The sequence below is a fragment of the Homo sapiens genome, chromosome 15 (genome assembly GCF_000001405.40).
Source record: "Homo sapiens chromosome 15, GRCh38.p14 Primary Assembly".
NCBI lineage: Eukaryota > Metazoa > Chordata > Mammalia > Primates > Hominidae > Homo > Homo sapiens.
This window is the reverse complement of record NC_000015.10, coordinates 72,582,947-72,605,039: the sequence shown is the minus strand read 5'-3', so window position 1 is coordinate 72,605,039 and position 22,093 is coordinate 72,582,947. Positions and strand designations below refer to the sequence as shown.

At 39.9% G+C, this 22,093-nt stretch overlaps 1 protein-coding gene, 1 non-coding gene and 1 pseudogene across 2 annotated transcripts in view; 1 reads left to right on the top strand and 2 right to left on the bottom strand.

The window, feature by feature from the left end:
- On the top strand, window positions 48–687 carry LOC100420930 (SWI5 recombination repair homolog (yeast) pseudogene; annotated as a pseudogene).
- The window catches only part of ARIH1 (ariadne RBR E3 ubiquitin protein ligase 1), a 128,658-nt gene continuing 108,617 nt past the window's right edge, over window positions 2,053–22,093 (bottom strand). Inside the window, exon 14 of the mRNA NM_005744.5 lies at window positions 2,053–21,832. Coding sequence (NP_005735.2) covers window positions 21,748–21,832 — 85 coding nt within the window. The 3' untranslated portion in view covers window positions 2,053–21,747. The remainder of the gene's footprint in view (window positions 21,833–22,093) is intronic.
- MIR630 (microRNA 630) lies at window positions 17,727–17,823 on the bottom strand. The gene has a single exon (NR_030359.1). It is a non-coding gene; the product is annotated as a microRNA 630 (primary transcript).

Sequence of the window (22,093 nt, the reverse complement as noted above, 5' to 3'; positions counted from 1 at the left end):
GAGAAAGATGAAAGGGAAAGGAGGTGTGGCAAGGCAGCAGTGTGTCCAGAGGACTGTGGCATCACAAGGAAAGCTGCCCATGCAACCGCTGGCCCCTCCCACTCTGGGAGAGGGGAGGGGCCAGCTTTCACTTGGTGTCCGCTTAGCTTTCTGCAAGACTATTCACACTGGTGGTCAGAGTTCCTTTCCAAGAAGACCTGAGAGGCTGCTTTCTCTCTCCTGCCCTGGACCCTCCTGTGCCACTGAACCCTCTTTCCTGGGGGCCTCAGACCCCAGGGCTCAGGAGGTGGGTGAGGAACGGACTCCACAGTTTCTTTCCTGACTCCTCACAGCCCTGCCCCAGACTTCCCCTTCCCAGAAATCACCTCCAAGGACCCCCATACAGTGCTCCCCACAACCTCCCTCTCAGAACGCCCCCTTCCTAGAGGGTCCCTACCCTGATCCTGGGAGCATATCTGCCCCCTTTCCAGTTGGATCCAGTCCTAGGCACTCCTACTTCCCAGCTGCTCTTCCTCCTGCACACCCACAGTACCCCTTTCTCTCAGAGTGGGCCATGGGTCCAATCAGGCATTTCCCTCGGATTCCTCTCCTTGACTGAACCAGGACTTACACAAAGTTGCCACGGGGCCTTCCGATCCCCTGCGAGTATGTCTTTCCCACCCCCCACTGCCAAAGTCCCCATCCCCGAGCCTCCCTCCGTGTGAGTCACTGCCTCCCCTGGCCCTCCTCTCCATCCCAACAGCAGCCAATCCCCCTCTTCCAGGTCTTCTCCCAGCTGACTGAGGACCTCCAGGTCATTTCTCAATCCCTCTCCTTCCTTTCCTCCTGCCCACCAGTCTTCAAATAAGTGCTGTCCTGTCCTAGGCCAACTCCTCTACCTCCCCATCCTGTCTCCTGCCTCTACAGATGCCTTTCACTCCAGTCCAGTACTAGCTATCTCTCCTGCTCACTGGTTTCACCCCTTACCCAGCCATAAACAAACCCACAGCTCCCCAGTCAGGAAAATGCTTGGTGTTCACCCTGGCCACTCCTTTAGCTGCTAATAATCTCTCCTCTTCTGTTGCAAGCCATCCCCAAAACTCAGCCTCCACCTTCTCTCATCCCCCAGATGGAGTTGCCACTACCACTACCTCCACTCTCAAGTTACATTGTGAAAGACTTGGTATTTGTTTGTTCATTAATTTAGCAACTGCGGGGATGCAGGTTTGTGCCAGATGGCCCCTGCCCTCCAAGAGGCACAGGCAAAAAAAAAAAAAAAAAAAAAAAAAAAAAAAAAAAAACAGTTCCAGGACAAGTATGCACATGGTTCTGAGAAGGGGAGCCCAAGCTTGGGCTTGCAAAGAAGCCTCCCCAGAGATGGCAAGGTCAGAAGCAAGGCCAGAAGGGCGAGCCACAGTGAGCCCAGATGATGATGACAGGGAGGCAACCACAGTTTGCCAAAAGCATTGGGCTGATTTCGTTTCGCTCTGAGAATGAATTGGTATCTGCTATCTTTGACCATGGGTGACTGACTGCAGATCATGCCTTTTTCATTCATGTTAATTCATTCCTTACCTTTTTTTTTTTTTTTTTTTTTTGAGACATGTCACCCAGGCTGGAGTGCAATGGCACTAACTAGGCTCACTGCAACCTCTGCCTCCCAGGCTCAAGCCATCCTTCCACCTCAGCCTCCCCAGTAGCTGGGACCACAGGTGTGTGCCACCACACCTGGCTAGTTTTTTTGGTAAAATTAGCCCCAGTACAGACGGGGTTTCTCCATGTTGCCCAGGCTGGTCTCGAATTCGTGAGCTCAAAGCAATCTGCCTGCCTCAGCCTCCCAAACTGCTGGGATTACAGGCATGAGCCACTGTGCCCAGCCTGGAAAAAAAATCCACTTCTAATCTAGCAAATTTTGTGTTCTTGTTTACTATTTTAGCATTAATAACACCAAGTGACTAACATTCTCCTCATGAGCGCTATGCTAGGAATAAAAGCTTGCCACGGTGGAATTATCTAAACTAGAAGAAATCAATACCATGGATCCCAACAAAAATCAACAAAAGGGACCACATGTTCATTTTATCTGATATATTTCTGGAAAAAAATGTTTGCCATAGCAAAATGGAGACGGGGAGCCAAGCAGCAAAATACATCCGTAGTGAGGTACAGAAAACAGTATCCACTAGAAATCTTTTCAGGAAGGGTGCCATTTTGGGTTGGAGAAACTCCTTGAAAGTTAATTTGGGGGAGAAGGAGAGTCCTTGAGGGACCAGGGTAAGGTCAGAACGTTTCCTGGGAGAAAGGGGGAACATTTCTCTGGCTAATAAGGGCACAGTGCCGGACAGGGTGAAGAAGAAAAAGTCAGTCAAGAGTGGTACATTTCAGAGCATGAAAGGCCTCACACTGCATAAAATAGACTACACCTTAAGACTTCCAATTTTCAGTAAGACTCTTAGGCCCATATAAAATTCAGGAGCCTGTGGATTTTTTGGTGTGGAAACCACTGAAGAGGCAGATTGTACATCTAAATTGCAAGGGCGAGACTTAAGTATGAATTGGGAATTTAGAGTGTAGCAAATTAGTCAGACATTAGATAATAAGTAAGCAAAGTTTATGAACAATTCACCAAGAAATACAAATGGCTCTTTAACATATGAAAATATAACTGTGCAAGGAAAAAAAACATGCAAATTAGTTTCCAAGAGATACTTTCCATTTCTTGCATTGGCAAAGAACAAAAATTTCACTGACATAATTGTGAGGACAAATGCATTCACTAGTGGGAATTCATAAAACTTCCATTGAGAGCAGTTTGGCAATAACTACCAAAATTAAAAATGCACATAATCTTTAACTGAATTATTTCAATTCTAGTAATTTATTCTATAGGCATAGATGTGGGAAATGACTTTACATACAAAGGTATTCAATGCAGCATTATTTGTAATAACCAATGCCTAAAACCAACCTAGATAGAGGTTAAATAAATTATAAGTCCATATTATATGGCGCATGAAAAAGAAAGAGGCAACTATTTACATATTAATATTGAATAATTGCCAAGATATATTATTAACAGATAAAGTGCAGAAAATGCATATAGTATCTGTATTAATAAAAAGGCAAAAATAAAGAGGAATATTATATACATAATTGCTTGTATACTTAGAAAATATTTCTGGAAGGATATTCAAAATGCTAAAAGTGGTTCTAAAGAGGAGAACTGGGTAGCGGGGGGACAGGGAAGAGAAGACTTTTTACTCTATACCTTTAATACATTTTGAATTTTGTACTATATGGATGTATTACCTACTCCAATAATAGCGACTAAGAAAGTGAAAAGCACAACATACCAAGAATTGTGATAAATGCTAAGAAGGAGAAATATAGAACAGTTAGAACAAACAATGGGGAGCCAATCTAGACTTGTTTGGACAGGGAAATTTTTCCTGGGTAAGAGATGTTTAAAATGAGACCTAAAGGGTAAGGCATTAGCTTAGGGAAAGGGGATGAAGACATGTGCAGGCCAGGAAAGAATTCTAAGGCAAAGGAAGAACTTGTGCAAAGGCCCTGAGGATGGAAGAATCTCAGCCAGTTTGCAGCACAGAATGAAGACCAGTGTGAAAAGAGAAAAAGGTAACAGGGTTGGTTGCAATAGGAGAAGAGGTAGGAGTGCAGATCCACAAAGGCCATATGAGGAATTTTATTTTAAGGGCATTGGGAAGGCACTAGAGAATTTTGAGCAAGGAATGGCATGGTCAGAATGAACACTTAATAAACTCATGTTAGCTCATGAGTAGAGACTGAATTGGGAGGGGGACAAAAATTGATAATCTAGGGTAAACTAAAGGATGCTGCAAATGAGATGATGAAACACTTCACTTGGACTAGTGTGATGGCAAAGGAGATGGAGAAAAAGTAAATGGGTTCTCAAGTTTAGAGGTGGAAAAACCTCCAATACACATGATTGGATATGGGGGAATGAGGGAAAGGGAAATGGATGTTAAAGGAAGATTGCCAGGTTTCTTACTTTGAAAGCTGCTGGATGAGTGGTACAGCCAATTACTGAAATGGGAAGACTTAAGGACAAAGATGTTTGTAGAAAGCTCATGAGGCTGTTTCCCAATATGTGAAATCTCCCTGAAAGGGGTCCTGTGAGGAGCAAATGACATTCTTTATTCAATAACTAGAAGCCATTGCTATAATGTTTCAAAATCTCTCCTTTGACCTCAGATCTTGTGAGGAAGATAGAACACTTTCTGTACCAGGGCCTTTTTCAATAAGAAAGGACATTGGTTTCTCAAATTGCAATCACTAAACCTAATGTACTTTAATTATATACATAATTAGAACAATCTCTTTTTAAAAAAACATAATAGGTTGGATACTATGGTTCACACCTGTAATCCCAACACTTTGAGATGCTGAGGCAGGAGGATTGCTTGAGCCCAGGAGTTCAATACCAGCCTGAGCAACATAGTGAGACCCGTCTCTACAAAAAATTTTAAAATGAGCCTGGCATGATGGCATGTGTCTGTAGTCCTAGCTACTTGGGAGACTGAGGAGAGAGGCTCTCCTGAGCCCAGGAGCTCAAGGTTGCAGTGAGCTATGATTGCACCACTGAACTCCAGCCTGGGTGACAGAGTGAGATCCACTGTAAAACAAACAAACAAGAAGTATGTTCACAGGAAAATCCCAGAAATCACATAGAACATGTTTCTTGTGTCACAGATGGATCTTCATTTCCCTTAGCAAATCTCCTCAAATGTGACCCTGCTTATCAAGATTATTCAAATCATATAGCTGTGCTGGGCATACAAAAAAAATGGCATTTATCTATTTTTATGGTGGGGGCTGAGGACATAGAAGAGGAATCAGGCATCGGTAACTTTTCAACACCCCCAATATATGTATAAACAAGGAGCTACAGTTGAGTTTTTACATTTTTAATGTTTTATCATTTGTACTGACAAGGTCCATAGCCAGCTTTGTTCTGATGCCACCTGCTGGACAAGTCTGTAACATCTTATTTCTCTTTGGAAGTGTCCAGTCCTCCCAAAACCTATACCACAAACGCTTGAGAGTCCAGCCAACACTGGGAAATATCACTTCAAAATAATATGAAGCTTCACTGGACTTCATGGAGGATTTTCAGTATGCCTATTCTTGATGCTACAGATATACTCAATAGCAATCAATGGTGAATGTGGACAAAGGCATAATACTGCATTGTTTGTGAGAAAAAATACTGGAAACATGGAAATGTCCATCACCAGTAACTGTTTAAATAAACTAAGATACATCCATATTAAGACATATTATGCAGCCTGTAAAAGTCCTCAGGTTGTTAAAATAGTTACATAAAACAAATAAAGTGTAGAAAATATAGTATGCTTCCATTCATGTTTAAAAAAATAATAAGGGGGAGGCCAGGTGCAGTAGCTCACGCCAGAACTATGAGAAGTCGAGGTAGGAGGCCAGGAGTTTGAGACCAGCCTAGGCAGCACAGTGAGACCCCTGTCTCTACAAAAAATAAAAAATAAAAGGAAGAGATATTGACACATTTTAGAAATACAGTTTGGAAAAGAAAACACAACCAACTGGTAAGATATTTGTCTCTGTGGAGGGAGTAGAGGCACTAGGGGAGTTAAGATGGGAAGGTGTTGCTTTTCTTTATGATTCTACAAAATTTAACTTTGTATTATCCATGTACTTTTACTTTTGAAAACAGTTAATGAGGCCAGGAGCGATGGCTCACACCTGTAATCCCAGCACTTTGGGAGGCTGAGGCGGGTGGATCAACTGAGGTCAGGAGTTGGAGACCAACCTGGCCAACATGGTGAAACCCTGTCTCTACTAAAAATACAAAAATTAGCTGGGTGTGGTGGCGGGCGCCTGTAATCCCAGCTACTCAGGAGGCTGAGTCACGAGAATCACGAGGCAGAGGTTGCAATGAGCCTAGATCGTGCCACTGCACTCCAGCCTGGGCAACAGAGCCAGACTCTGTCTCAAAAAAGAAAAAAATACTAGCTAATGAAATATGTAAATAAAACCATTGTTTAAACTCCCATTCCTAACCAGGCATGGTGGCTCATGCCTTTAATCCCAGCACTTTGGAAAACCAAGGTGGGAGGATCACAGGCAACATAGCGAGACCCAAACTCTACAAAAAAAAAAAAGCCAGGCATGGTGGCACATGACTGTGGTCCCAGCTACTCAAGAGGCTGAGGCAAGAGGATCACTTGAGCCCAGAAGGTCAAGCCAGCAGTGAGCTATGATCATGTCATGGCACTCAAGCCTGGGTGGCAGTGAGACGTGTTTAAAAAAAAATTTTTTTTTTTTTTTTTGAGAGGGAGTCTTGCTCTGTCACCCAGGCTGGAGTGCAGTGGCACAATCTCGGCTCACTGCAACCTCCGCCTCCCAGGTTCAAGCAAATCTCCTGACTCAGTCTCTCAAGTAGCTGGGATTACAGGCGCCCACCACCACACCTGGCTAATTTTAGTATTTTTAGTAGAGTTGGGGTTTCACTATGTTGGCCAGGCTGGTCTCAAACTCCTGATCTCAGGTGATCCACCTGCCTCGGCCTCCCAAAGTGCTGGGATTACAGGCATGAGACACTGTGCCTGACCTAAAAAAATTTTTTATTAAAAAAATAAACTCCTACTTCTGAAATTCACTAGTGATATGAACAAAGTCACAAGGAATATACCTCCCACTCTAGCAAACAACAACAAAAGGCCAGATGAGCTAGAAAATAAAACATATGTTTAATTCATCAGAAAGCTAAGGACACAAAGAAATCTAGGTTGGGTGCAGTGGTTTATGCCTGTAACCCCAGGACTTTGGGGTGCTGAGGCAGGCAGATCGCTTGAGCTCAGAAGTTTGAGATCAGCCTGGGCAACATGGTAAAACCCTATCTCAACAAAAAATACAAAAATTAGCCGGGTGTGGTGGTACACGCCTGTAGTCCCAGCTGCTCAGGAGGCTGAGGTGGGAGGATCAACTGAGCCAGGAAGGCAGAGGTTGTAGTGAGCTGAGATCACTACAGGCTGTACTCCAGGCTGGGTAAGAGTGAGACCCTGTCTCAAAATAAAAACAAAAACCAAAGAAACCTAAATGATCCAAACTCCAGAAAGTGCCAAGTCCTTCATAGGAGAGAAGAGACCCCCTAGCTGTTGTTATTCCTAGTTGAACTATGGTAGGAAGAGGAATACTACAGGGGGGAGAAAAGAGAAACCTGCTGAAATTTAACAACATTTTCACAACCCCTTGGAGGCTGGTTTGACATTAGAACCTAGATGACCCAAATCCACAGAGGAAGGCTTCCCACCAATCTTACCCCTTAGATGATAACCAGGTACAGGAAGGTGTAGTACACTAAAGGTGTGGATAATAGAAGGAACGCTGAGAGAGCTTGACTTCTCCCAAGGGCAAAATACCCTTTAAAAATGAAAGGGGAGGCAGGATTGTTGTGAAATCCAACAGAGGCACTCTTGGAGCCTAAATGGGGTCAGAAATGCTGAGAAACCCATCCCCTAGGCATTGTGGGCATTCCTCTACAAAAGGGCAGGGCACACATGAGAGCTGAGAAAGATCCTCCTATCCCCAGCCCATTGATTAAAAAAAAAAATCCTGGCAGCAAGGTTGTAAAGTAGGGAAAGATCTCCCACATTGATAAAAGCTGGTGGCTTAGCTATGAAGCAAAGTCAGATCTCTGGAATCTTGCCAATGCCCAAAACTCAGGCCCTGGTGATATGAGAGTTCTGATTCTACGTTCCTTCAAATATTTGAAGCTAGAGGCAAACTGAATCAAACTAAAACTGCAGTGAAGCCCCAGTCTAGAATTCATATACATCAGATTGAGCCACCATTCAAGTGGCCTGAAAAAAAAACAAAGGGCATGCTCTGTTTTGGAAGTAAACATTTTCTTCAATTTCTTTTTTTTTTCAACATAAAACGTCCATCATCCAATCAAATATACAAGACGTGCAAAAGCAAGAAAATAAGATTCATGGTAAGGGAGAGGAAGGGCTCAATAGAAGCAGAACTAGAAAAGACCCAGATGTTGAATTATCAGTTTGGATCCTTAAAATAACTGATTAAAAATGAAAGAAAAAACAGAAAAAACCCAATAAAATAACTGATTAAAATGCTAAAAAGTAGAATGGAAAATGTGGAAAACATGCATGAAGAAATAGGAAATTTCAGCAGAAAATTGTAACTATACAAATATAATGAAATGCTAGAAATAAAAATATTAGAAATGAATAATTCAGTACAACTATGTATCCATAAATAACTAAAAATAAAAATTTTTAAATGGAGAATTCAATAAACAAGTTTAACAGGTTAACATTGGAAAGCATCAAAAAACTTAAAGATGGTTAAATGGAAAGTATCCAAACTGAAAACAAAAAGAAAACAGGGCAGGGGAAAAATCATCTGAGATCTGTAGGTTTATATCAAATCATCTAATATACATGTAACTAGAATCTCCAAAGAAGAGGAGAAGCAAGAGAGTATGAGACAAGAGAAAAATGTAAACGGATAACGGCCAAGAAAGAACCAATATTAATGAAAGACATCAACACAGATCCAAGAAGTTCAGTAAACTCTATACAAAGAAAAACATACCTAGACATTCCCTAGTCAATCTACTGAAAAGTAAATATAATGCACAGATGCAGCCATTGAGAACAACCACACATTACGGAAAGGAAATAAAAATTAAAATGATGAATGACTTCTCACCAGAAACAAATGAGGCCTGAGTACAATAAAATAACTTCTTTAAAGTACTGAAAGAAGAAATAAAAGGTCAACATAGAGTCCTATATCCAACTAAAATACCCCTCAAAAATAAAAGTAAGGACATTCTCTTATAGACAAAAGCTGAGAGAACTCATCTCTTATTAAAAACTGCAGTAGGGCCAGGCGTAGTAGCCCTACTACGCCTAGTGACCTGTAATCCCAGCACTTTGGGAGGCCAAGGTGGGCAGATCACCTGAGGCCAGGAGTTCAAGACCAGCCTGGCCAATATGGTGAAACCCCGTTTCTACTAAAAATATAAAAGTTAGCTGAGCTTGGTGACATGTGCCTATAATCCCACTTACTTGGGAGGCTGAGGCAGGAGAATCGCTTAAACCTGGGAGGCGGAGGTTGCAGATTGCACCACTGCACCACAGCCTGGGAGATAGAGCAAGACTCAGTCTCAAAAAAACAAAAACAAAGATGAAAAAAAAAAAAAAAAAACAGAAAAAACAAAAAACACTGCAATAGGCTGGGCACTGTGTCTCATGCCTGTAATGCCAACACTTCGGGAGTGCAAGGCAGGAAGATCACTTGAGCCTAGCAGTTCCAGATCAATCTGGGCAACATATCAAGACTCCATGTCTACAAAAATGAAAAAGAAAAATTAGCCAGCTGTGGTAGCGCACACCTGTGGTCCCAGCTACTCGGGAGGCTGAGGCAGGATGATTGCTGGAGCCAAGAAAGTTGAGGCTGCAGTGAGCCACGTTCATGCCACCACACTCCAGCCTGCGTGACAGAGACCCTGTCTCAAAACAAAAACAAAAACAGTCCATGAGAGCCAAGTGTGGTGGCTCACACCTCTAATCCCAGCACTGTAGGAGGCCAAGGCAGGAGGATTGCTTGAGGCCAGGAGTTTGAGACCATCATGGGCAACACGGCAAGATCTACAAAAAATTTCTTAAATTTGCCTGGTGTGGTGACATGCACCTGTATTCCTAGCTACTCAGGAGGCTGAGGCAGGAGGGTCGCTTGAGTCCAGGAGCTCAAGGCTGCAGTGAGCTATGATCATGTCATTGCACTCCAGCCTGGCAGCCTGAGCAAAAGAGTGAGACTGTCTCTAAAACAGCAACAACAAAACTGTCCATGGGCTGGATCTGGCCCATGGGCCACAGTTTGCCAACCCCTGTAACATACCATCTTAACAAAATAAAAAGAGAAATACATAATAATCTTATTAAAAGCTAAAAACGCATCTCACAAAATTTAATAACCCTTCCTAATAAAAATTATCAACAAATTAGGAATAGAAAGGAACTTCTTTGGGCTGGTCTGTGAAAAACTTACAGTTAACATTATACTTAGTGATGAAACATTAAAATCTTTATCCCTAAGATTAAGAAAACAAGGCAAGGTGTCTGCTCTCACCACACGTTAAACATTGCACTAGATATTGTAGCCAGTGGAGAAAGACAAAAAAAAAAAAAAAAAAAAAAAAAAAGAAGAAAAGGCATAAAATCAGAAAAAGAAGTAAAAACATTATTTGCAGACTACACTGTTGTGTATCTATTTAATATAAAACTCTACGGAGTCTACAAGAACTATTTCTAGAATAAATGAATTTAGCAAGGTGGCACGATTCAAGATCAGCATACAAAAATCAGCCAGGCACACTGGCACGTGAATAAAGTCCCAGCTACTTGGGTGGCTGAGGCATGAGAATCCCTTGAGCTCAGGAGTTTAAGACCAACCTGGGCAACATAGTGAGACCCATCTCTAAAGAAACAAACAAAAAATCAATTGTATTTCTAGATACTAGCAGCAAACAACTTAAAAATGAAAATTAGCCAGGCGCGGTGGCTCACGCCTGTAATGGCAGCACTTTGGGAGGCCAAGGTGGTTGGATCACGAGGTCAGGAGCTCGAGACCAGGCTGACCAACATGGTGAAACCCCGTCTGTACTAAAAATACAAAAATTAGCCAGGCATGATGGTGTGTGCCTATAATCCCAGCTACTCAAAAGGCTGAGGCAGGAGAATTGCTTGAACCCGGGAGGCGGAGGTTGCAGTGAGCCAAGATCGCGCCACTGCACTCCAGCCTAGCCAACAAGAGCAAAACTCCGTCTCAAAAAAAAAAAAAGAAAAAAAGAAAAAGAAAAGAAAATCAAAAATATTTTAAAAATCAAATGCTTAAGAAAAAGTCTAATGTAAGATAAGCAAGTGTTACGCAAGGGAAGCTACAAAACATTGCTGAGAAAAAAATTTAATACCTAAATAAATGACAAGACTTAATATGTTCATGAATTAGCTGACTCAATACTATTAAAATGTTCATTCTAAATTGACCTATAGACTCAACAAAACCCCATATCAAGATTCTAGCAGTTTTTTCTTTTCTTTTTTTTTTTTGACAGGGTCTTGCTGTCACCCAAGCTGGAATGCAGTGGCATGAACACAGCTAACCCAGCACATCTACGTTTGAAAAACAAGATGAGCTAATTGTAAAACTTTTATGACAATCCAAAGAATCGACAATAACCAAAGCGATCTTGAAAAATAACAAAAAGGAAGGATTTACTAATTTAAAGACTTACTAGAAAGTTTCAATAATCCAAAGTGTGGTACTGATGTAAGGATACACAAATAGATTAATGGAACAGAACAGAAAATGTAGAAATACACACACACGTGATCAATTTTTAACCAAGCTACCAAGTCAATCTAATGGGTAAAGAAAAGTCTTTTTAAGTAAATGTTGCTGGAACAACTGTATATCCATGTTGGAAAAAAACCAAACCTCATTCTGTTCACAAAAATTAATTTGAGATGGATCACAGACCTAAACATAAAATCCCAAACCATAAAACTTCTAGAAGAAAATATATTCTTTGTGACTTTGAGGTCATAAAACCATAAAATAAAAAACTGATAAAGTGGATTTTATAAAAAAAATTTGTTCATCGAAAGATCCCAATAAGTGAATACATAGAGTCTTTAAAAAATCATAGCATATCTATCAAAGGATTTATATTCAAAATACAAAGAATAACACCTACAATAAAAAGACACCCAACTTTAAAATGAGAAAAGACATGAAAGACACTTCTTGAAAGATATACAAATGAAAAATAAGCATATGAAAAAGTGCTCAACTCATTAATCAGGGAAATGTAATGTAAATTAAAATCAGTTATTTCATATATGCTAAAATGGCTAATATAAAAAACAGTGACAGTGTAAATGTTGACAGACATGTGAAGCAACTGTAACTCTCATACATCACTGATAGGAGTACAAAATGGTAAAACCACTTTGGAGAATAAGAGGGCAGTTTCTTATAAACATGCACTTACCATATGACCCAGTAATTTTCTACTCTTATTTATCCAAGACAAGTGAAGATGTATATCCACAAAAAACAAAAACAAAAGGCTGTGTAAGAATATCGATAGCATCCTTATTCATAATTGCCCCAAACTGGAAACAACCTAAAGGTCCTTCAATAGGAGAATGAATAAACAAATTGTGGTATATTTATAGAATGAAATACTACTCAGCAATAAAGAACAATGTCCTAATACATACAGTATGCGTGTCTTTAAAGCATTATCAGTGAAAGAAGCCAGATGCAAAAGAGTACATTATTATATGATTCCACTTATATGTAATCCAAAAGCAGGTACAACAAATCTTTAGTGATAAAAATCAAGAAGTGATCACTGGAGTGGGGAGGTGCTCAGGGGTGATTTAAAAGTACTTGAGAATTTTCTGGGTTAATTGTAACATATTATGTCTTCTTTTGGTAGTTATTACACAGACGTATACAACTGTCAAAACATCAAACTTCACACTTAAGATGTGTGCATTTTGTAATATTAATTTCTATATATCAATTTAAAATAAAGGTGAGTAGTGGCTTCCTATTCCAGGAGTGTTTGTCTCCCACTCTTTACTGGCCTATTATCTCTTTGCTTCAGTGAGATTTTTGGGCTCCAATCTATTCAGGGCCAGGCCCTTGATTATGGAATTTATCTTAAAGAGCACACAATCCAGTGTCCCAGAGATAGCATTTAGAATCTGTAAAGCAATTTTGTGGAAACAACAGTCATTTATTTCCATTGGTTAGTGAGCAACCATTTGACCATTGTTAAGGCACTGGCTTGTACATGGACTTCCTTAAAGTACAGCACTTAACCTACTTTATTGCAAGCGAGTAAAAATGGAGTAAAAATTAATTATTCAAAGGCATGCAGAACACTATAACTTTTCATTAATCCCACTCTCTAGCATTTGCTGCCCTGACCTTTACAACACTCCAAATTAGTACTAGGATTTTGGGATACAAAATCATTTCCTATCCATGGCAGACATCTTTTCCAAAGCAGGTAGACACTCAGATCATTCTTCCTTATTGGAAAACTCTTTAGTGCTTTCCCTAGTTAGATAGAAATAAACCACAAGTCTGGGTATGTGGTAGGAATTTATTAACAAGCAAACATCTTTGTTCATACCAGGAAGACCAGCAATTAGATTATAAATGACTTGAGAGCAAGTGCAAGAACTTAACAATTTTAGAGCATTCCATGAGAATGTCTATTTGCCCAAGAAGGCCCACAAGAAGTGCTCTACAAATGCTGGTTATTATTTTATGCTGTACTTCCTCTGAGAAAATGATTTGACATACCGAGGTGGGAGTACACATAGCAAGGAAGTCTCCCTGTAAAAGGAAGCTGGGAAATTCAAGTAATGGTGTTTTTGGATAGGATCCCTAAGAAAACTTAGGACAAAATCCTGCTCTGTGTGTGTTTGCTCAGTCCTCAGGAATCCCACTTGACCAACTGACTCCAGAGAGCTAGAGCCTCACTGCATAAGCCTCAGATTCATAATTCTAAGAACAGCCATTTAATGTGCACTGAACTGGCTTATAGGGCACTACTCTGTTATACAGAAACAAATTTTAGCTATCAGAAGGAAATCCAAAATCTATAGAAACGTTTTCAGCCTAAAAAGCTTTCTGGGGGATAAACTGTCTACTATAAAGAGTTGGTTTTGTATTTCTTCTTCTTCTTCTTTTTTTTTTTTTTTTTTTTTTTTGAGACAGAGTCTCTCTGTCGCCCAGGCTGGAGTGCAGTGGTGTGATCCTGGCTCACTGCAAACTCCACCTCCCGCGTTCAAGCGATTCTCCTGCCTCAGCCTTCCGAGCAGCTGGAATTACAGGCATGCACCACCATGCCTGGCTAATTTTTGTATTTTTAGTAGAGATGAGGTTTCACTGTGTTGGCCAGGCTGGTCTCGAACTCCCGACCTCGTGATCCACCTGCCTCAGCCTCCTAAAGTGCTGGGATTACAAGGTGTAAGCCGCCATGCCCAGCCTTGTTTTATATTTCTATGAGCACCCTCCAAATTCTCATTCTGAAAGAAACTTGAATACTCCATGGCTAAAGGCAGGTGACTTGGAGTAAATACCAAACCTTTAAACAGGCATAATCAGTGAAGAGGGTTTTACAGGTGCCAAATAAGACATAAATTGTTGCTGAGGAAATATTATGTATATAAAGCCATTGTCAGCTGGGCATGGTGGCATGCACCTATAGTCCTAGGTTACTCAGGAGGCTGTGGCAGGAAGATGGCTTGAGTCCTGGAGTTCACGGCAGTAGTGCACCCTAACTGTGCCTGTGAATAGCCATTATATTCCAGCCTGGGCAACATAGTGAGACCCCACCTCTAAAAAAATAGTAATCTTTTAAAAAGCCCATGTCATCAGATCAAAGTAAGGTTAGACTTCTGGGAAGGGTTTGGAAATGCAGGGCTGGCTTGCTTAACTCATTAAAATGCTAGAGTGACTCTCAAATGTGAGAAAAAAGGAATACTTTGAGTACTTCTGAACAGTGTATCTGAGGTCACCAACGAAAGAGGCATCTGTTTTGAAGAGATGAGCCAAGATAAGAATTAAGTTTCCAGGACAATCTTAGGTTGGAAGTCCCCTAATCAGTCTATATACAATTTTAGCTGGTGCTTTTGGTGACTGAGAAGCAGATACAGCATGGTGAAAATAATATACTGGTCAAACAGCAGAGCTGGCTCTGATATTAACTGGTTGAGTGGCCTTGGGCAATCCACCGAGTCTATGCAGAATCAAGGTTGAGAGCTTCAGACAAACCAACAGACCTTTTGTTCACTGCTGTACTGCCAGTGCCCGGCACTGTGTGTGCTGACCAATAAAACCTAGGTTTGTAACTTCATTCCACCACTTACTAACAGGATGACCTCAAGGAAACTACCCATTTTATTTGAGCTTCTATTTTCTTATTTATAAAATGAAAATAGTAACTACATCATAAGACTGAGATGGAAGAGCTAGGAGCAGTGGCACATGCCTATGATCCCAGCTACTCAGGAGGCTGAGGCAGAAGGGGTTGGCTGAGACTAGGAGTTCAAGTCCAGCCTGGGCAACATAGCAAGACTGTCTCTTAAAAAAATAAAAAATAAAAATAAACGAGATGGAAACAAAGCATTTGGTAAATACTAAGTAGCCACGAGTATCTACCATATACCAATTCATTACATGTATTTAAAAAATTAAAACTTCAGGGCATTTCAGTTTTGTCAAAGACGATTTCCATGATGTGAACCCAGCGAACTATGATCTCCAAGATCTCCTTCCCGATTAAGTTAAGCTCTCAACACCCATGTTTGTATTGATGATCCTGCCCCATGGATCTGATTGGTTCTGTCTACATGTGTCAGGAACAGTTAACATGTAATACCTGGAGCTATGGGGTAACTGACAGGAAAAGCAGCAGTAAGAGCTGTAAGAGAATGATGTACAGATAGTAGACAATACCACTTTAGGGGTCCAAAATGGTTTTCTAGTTCCCAATCTCATCCTGCCTTTGGGAGTCTCTGAGACAGCTCTGTATCCTTATCTTTTGCCCAAGTTAGCACTGGTGTGCTTATTATTGTAACTAGGTTTTGTTTTCACATGTTCTTTGATCCTCACAATATTCCTATGTAACAGACAACAGCAGCATAATAGAATGAACATATGGAATCAGACAAGCATGGCCCTGTTATACACTCAATGTGTAACTTTTGAGTAAGTTAGTAGTATATGAGTGTCTTTCCTCATAAAAATAGGGTAACAATGCCCATTTTGCTTTAGGGCTGCTTGGAAGATACAGACAAAAGTAAGGCATCTGGCAAAAAGCACTCAACAAATTACAGTTCCTATTAGTATTCCCATTTTACAAAAGGGAAATCTATGGCTGAGAAATACCAATATTCTTACTACTATACCACACTTGAAATAAAAATACAAGATTATCAAAAGAATGATAGACATGAGAAACTTGTAAACTCTTAAGTGCTCGTGGAATTGTGCAGACTTGACGCAACTAGCTTTAATGACAGTTTTGCTTATAACCACTCAACTTCCTTTGCTCAGACTCTGTATTATTTTCCCTAGATAGATTTCTCCCCCTTGGTAAGAGAATGTACTGCCAATCAACATGGCTGCTTGTCAGTTCTACTTCTTGGTAAGACTTTTAGTTTTGTGATTTTCTCCAAGGTGGACCACTTACCAGAAAACCAACAAAAAACCAAATTGGGCACTGCACACCAGACCCTTGGGAGGCACCATTCCACAAAACCCACTCAACTAGGGCCTCCAGTGAGGCCCTATTCTGAGCCAGTCAATTTGCCTTGAATCATTTTGTCCCTTATGATCTGGAGTTGCTCGCCTATATTCTCTTTTTGCAACTATAGAAGGCAGTCTAGATCAAGGATCTCAACCTAGTCTGCATGTGAGAATCACCGGCTGGAATTAGGGGTGAGAATGCGTAAAGGGCTTTACAAAAATTACTGATGCCTACCCAAAGCAATTAAATCATAATCTCCATAAAGTAACACTCAGGCACTAATATTTTTTAAAGCTTCTCAGTGATTCCAATTCGCAGTCAAGTTTAAGTATCACTGGTCTAGGTAATGCCAGATGGACAGTGGCATTGTTGCAAGCCAAGACTAGTAGAAGCTGGGAAAAAAAAACTGCCCATGGCCGGGTTTTCTTTGGCCCACATTTAATTAAGAGAATTCACATGAAGTCTGGATTTCACAGGCTCCTCTCAGAGCCCATCTACTCCAGGGTACTCTATTTCTAAAATATTTACTTGGCTCTTGTTGACATTTCAGTTTGAGACTCCTGGATTACTTGAGACCCCTGAATTACTATGGTAATAAGGTTGTTGTGGTATTGATAGAGCTGCTACATATCAATGTGTGACTGATATACAAACTTTAACTGGCTCCTACCCTGAAAATAGTCCTAAATAAGCATATCTGTGGCCCTAAATGATAGCCTGAAAACTGCTTTTCGCACATAACTCATATTATTTTTTCCCATCCTAAATGCTACCGCCTAGAGAAAGGTCAACAATAGTTGCCTTAAAAATTGGACTCAACTCCACACAAAAGCAAAAACTAAAAACCTAAAAGTTGTCTGTTTACTCCCCTGGTAGGCACTATTTGATTGATATCCAACTGAGTATTTCTGAGTTGGCTATTTGATCTTGGGTAACTACAGAAGCAAAATCCCTAAAATAAACCAGATATAACCAACTTTATCCCCAAAGATATATGAAAAATCTGAGGGGCCCACTTATCTTCCTGTTTCTGAAGGAGCCAAAATTTTCTCATAAAACTCACTGCTTATCATCTTTTTAAAGCCTCAAAGGCTGAGATCCAATGGATATGGGATGTTCTGTGCATCCTGTAACAATTTCCTGCAGACTATCCAAAATTCTTTACAATGGAAATTCATTTGAATAACTAAACCAACAACTGCAAATTACTTGGGTACTATTAAGCAAATCATACTAAACCACTTATTCTCAACTACTGTGTTGCAAACTGCAACAAATGAAAGATCAGAGATAGTATAGAGCAACCTCTAACAGTAGCAGTGATAGGCATTTATAATAGTCTTTAATGTGGTTTAAAAGTACAATATAGTTAAGAACTACCTTCCCTGGTACAGAATACTAGGTCATTCTGTGACCAGAATAACAAAATATGATACAAAGAGGTAGCATGATGTTAAGTTTCAGGTAGAAGGAAATGAAAAATTGAGGGAGTTATTTAACCTCAGTGAGCCTTATCTTCCTCCTTTATAAAAAATGGCAATTTCTTCTCCACTTGTTTTAGACAGTAAGTTGAAGTGCTTTGAAGAGGAAAAGTGATAAACTCCCATAATTACAGATCCAAATAAGAGTAAATTAAATTGTCCTAAAACCTGGACTTGGCCAGAGTATCAATGACAAACGATCTTCAACTTTGGGACCTTCTTTAAGAAAACTCTCCCTTCATCCCTATATAACAGTATCAGCTTTAAGAGTGAGCTAAAATGAAAGTAATGTAAAGGAGTTTTGAGGTTAGCTAAGAATGACTTTTAAAGTATTTTCTTTAAAAAAAGTGGCATTCAAAGAGCTATTGAACATTTTTGTATCACTGTTACAACACAAACAATTTAAATTCAATATCTGAGATGCAGAAATTGGAAATCTTTCAGAAAATGCTCTGAAAGCTTCATTAACCAAGTTAAATGTTGGGGGAATGGGCTCATTCACAGTTCCCTGCAAAGAAACAACCAATTTTTGACATTTTATATTAAGTGGGAACAGTGAATAAGGCACATAATACGGGTGGCTATTAGCCACCTTTAGTCATTTTTTAACTATAAAAATAAACATAAGTAACTAATGGAATAACAAAATAAAAGTTTATTTTATTAGAATTAGGAATGTTCTTTCCCTCTGGGCAACCTGAACAGTCCAGTTACAATGAAATCTAAGAACAGTTATTTCCACAGCATAGGGTGCTCTATGCACAAAATTACAGGGTTAGGAGCATTTAATCAATTTACCATTCTGATTGTCTCACCAACCCACCCCATCCCATCCCCCAAGTGCTCTATTACCGGGGTTTGTAGCTAAAATAATTTGTTACATTAACTCCTTTTCCCTCTTCTACTAAATTTCAGTTCCTAATCATGGTTGAACCACTTTATTACACAGCAGATTCAACCATTTCAAATGAAGTCAGCCAGTCTTGGATCTGTTGTATATGGGTGTATGTATACACGTGTATCTAACATATTTATTTAAACACACATAAAACACATACAATCTGGGTTGTGGAAAATTACAGATAATTTAGTCTGATATTATATGCTACTCAATTTTACCACTGTGGTTTGTGTCCTGAGCTTTGGATCAAAATTTTATTTTAAATCACTGAAAGTCCATCTGCTGCTGAATGAATTGTTCAAATGAAGCATGCACTTTTCAAAAGACAATGAAACTGACCTCAAGACATGGAGACCTTGGTGCTTACTGTGAATAGATCCCTCAGATAAGACTTCTGTAGGTGAAACAGGGAAGCTGTCATGGCTTGCCTATCCCAGCTGGGGGCACTGAATCTACTAATAACACAAGCAATTCACTCTGGGAATTCTGTCAAATATGGTGGTATCTGTTAAAAGCTTGGAAGTAGAAAAGGGCCAGTTCATCTTGATCATACAAATTAGGGAATGCACCCACAACTGCAATACCCTCAGGCAGTATGCCAACATTGAAATAGAAAGCATCTCTAAAAAGCACTGTTCCTCCATGGGTGAAGACTGGTATTAGGAAGTGCACACACAATTTTTGGGTATTTGTTGCAACAGGAACACGTGGATTTATGACACTCAAACCTAGACACTGCAAAGTTAACTGGTAAGATTTTTTTTTTTTAAACACCACACATACACAAAGCATTTTAAAGGAGCCACATATATCTATATAGCAACTCTGACTGCTTTTCAAAGTTACCAGGGAAAGGAACTTATTCAGGCTTTCTTTAAAAAAACTCCTTAGTTTTAATGTATATCTTTTTAAGATTGATGCTGTCATTTGAAGTAAAATAATGTCATATGGATAATGGGGGAAGAGGGGAGAGAGACGAGAAAATGGAAGAAGCAGACACTGAGTTCAGATTTGCACCTGAGGTGGCAAGGGAGGAAAGGAGAAAAGGTACAGGTAAAGTTGATCCTAAAGCGACAAGTGGTTTAAGGAAGCAGCATTTATACTCAGCAAACATTCACTGATTTTTGATGGGAAAAGAACAGTTGCCAGTAAATCTCCTGTAACAACCTTTTCTAAAAGGAAAAGTAGGGTTGATTCAGCAAAGCCTAACTTAGGCAAAAGGCCAGAGGAAAGTGAACCTACTTCCCAATGGAGTAATAGGATGTACAGTGTAAGAGCAGACAAAGCTGCCTCACAAATGGTAAACACTCCCTAGGCAAAAGACATTTAAAGGAAGACGAAGAGGTCCTCAGCCTCAACTGGTATTTCATATTTAGACCTCTTAATCTAGTTGCCTAGTTCACTCTGCACTCCTGTATAAAACTGACAGATTTACAGATGCTGACCTATTGAAAAATACCACAGCCAGAATGGCCTAAACAGGTATATAGTTAATACAACCACCACCATCCTTTACTTTTAACATAGCTCTTAGTAGGAATTTCATAAAAATGGACATCACAGCTAAAATGCATTATTAATTCTCCTATCTGCTGACAATAAAAAAGCAGCAAACTCAGTGATTTCTATTTAAATGCACTAGATGGGAATATCATGTTCTAGGGGTGTTTGCCTTCAAACCAAACCCACAGCAACACACACAAGCAATTTCGGTATCCACCATTTTAAATTCACAATCTGAGACTAAATGAATGGCTATTTATATTTAAAGCAAAACATTCTCTTTGACACCCTAATGTAGAGAAGGGGTGAGCAGACGAGCCATAACTAAAATCTGAAAAGCAGCAATTAAGGGAAAACCAAAAAGTAAAAGAAATTTTAAAATGCTTCCACTGGATGCGACAGGGGACTTAAGAATGCCTACAGCTGTGTGCATAACATGGGCACACAAAGGCTTGGGTAGAGGCATGATGCCATGGAGGGGGATTAGGTTGGGACAGGTTAATTCATGAGCTGTAGCAACAAAACTCCCTGCTGTACCCCTTAATCAGGTCATGGCATTAGTCAGAGCTTGACCTCCCTTGTCCCTGATCAAGAGCAGGAATTCAAGGCATGAGGCCCATGGCCGGCAACAGACATACCAACACCAGAAAGGGCAAAATAACCTCAGGAAAGTGAAAGAGCTCTAGATAGGTCTTCCAGAGGTGCTAAACCGACACACCTTTATCCCAACCCCAACCCGGGAAAGATAAGCAAACTGAAAGAAAATGCACAGCAAATAGACATAATCTTGAAGATTTTTAAAGAATAAATATTTTTTTGTAATTAAACATTATGCAAACACGTGCCACGCTTGCTTTGTCCATGCATATGCGCTATATACAATTTTGAAAAATACTGTGTTGTCCTCTTGTTTTAAAAGTCATATACAAAGTTTTTATGTTTTTCGTTTGTTGAATCCTCTTGCTGCCTACCCCTTTCCCCATCCCAAGATTTTCTTTACAAGGAACTAAGCATCATTCACTCATGACCTTGGGGTATGAGAGAAAGAGAGTCAGTCTGTGTGTGGGTGTATCTGTATGTGTAGGGGAGGAAGGGGAAGAGGTCCTTTACCAAAGTACAACAAAATGGCTGGTTTGAACATGAAAAGCAGTGTCAAGGAGCTGTTTGAAATTTTAACTGTACTACACTCAGGAAAAGGAAAAAGAAAAAAAAGGAGTCAGCTTTGAGAATGAAGCTACGTTACAAGTTAAAGTTGGAGGGCTTTTAGTGTGTCTGTCACACTTTTGTTGGTGGCCTAGAATACTGTTGTACAATGGTTTATCTACCTTTTTATTACAATATAATTTACTTAAACTTTCCATTAACAAAACAATTCTGGTACTACAGACCAGTGGTGTCAGAATAGGCTTAGTGCCTCCTTGTTTGTGTTTGTTTTGTTTTAATTGCATGAGCACTCTAGATGGTAAAGTTTTCAGAGTTCATTTTATGCAGGGCCATTCTCAGTCCTCAATGTACTCCCACAGATCTTTTTCATAGCCTTCATGCACATGCTGTAACAAAACCCTTCGTCGACTCTCACAGTATCTGTAATCAAAGAGAAAAAAAAAAAAACTTGTTGTCAGCCTCTAATAATAAAAAAAGAGGCATTTACTTATTTTTAAGGCATCCCTATAGTTTATCCAGACTCGGAACCAAGCACCTATTTTTTATTTTAATAGGCACATGTTCAGGTCTAGATGTACAGACACATCAAACTGCTTCTAATATTAAAATGGTATTTTCTGAAAGCCATGATTCCATGGGAATTAATTTTAAAGCAATAAAGTGTTACAAGTTCTGATGGAC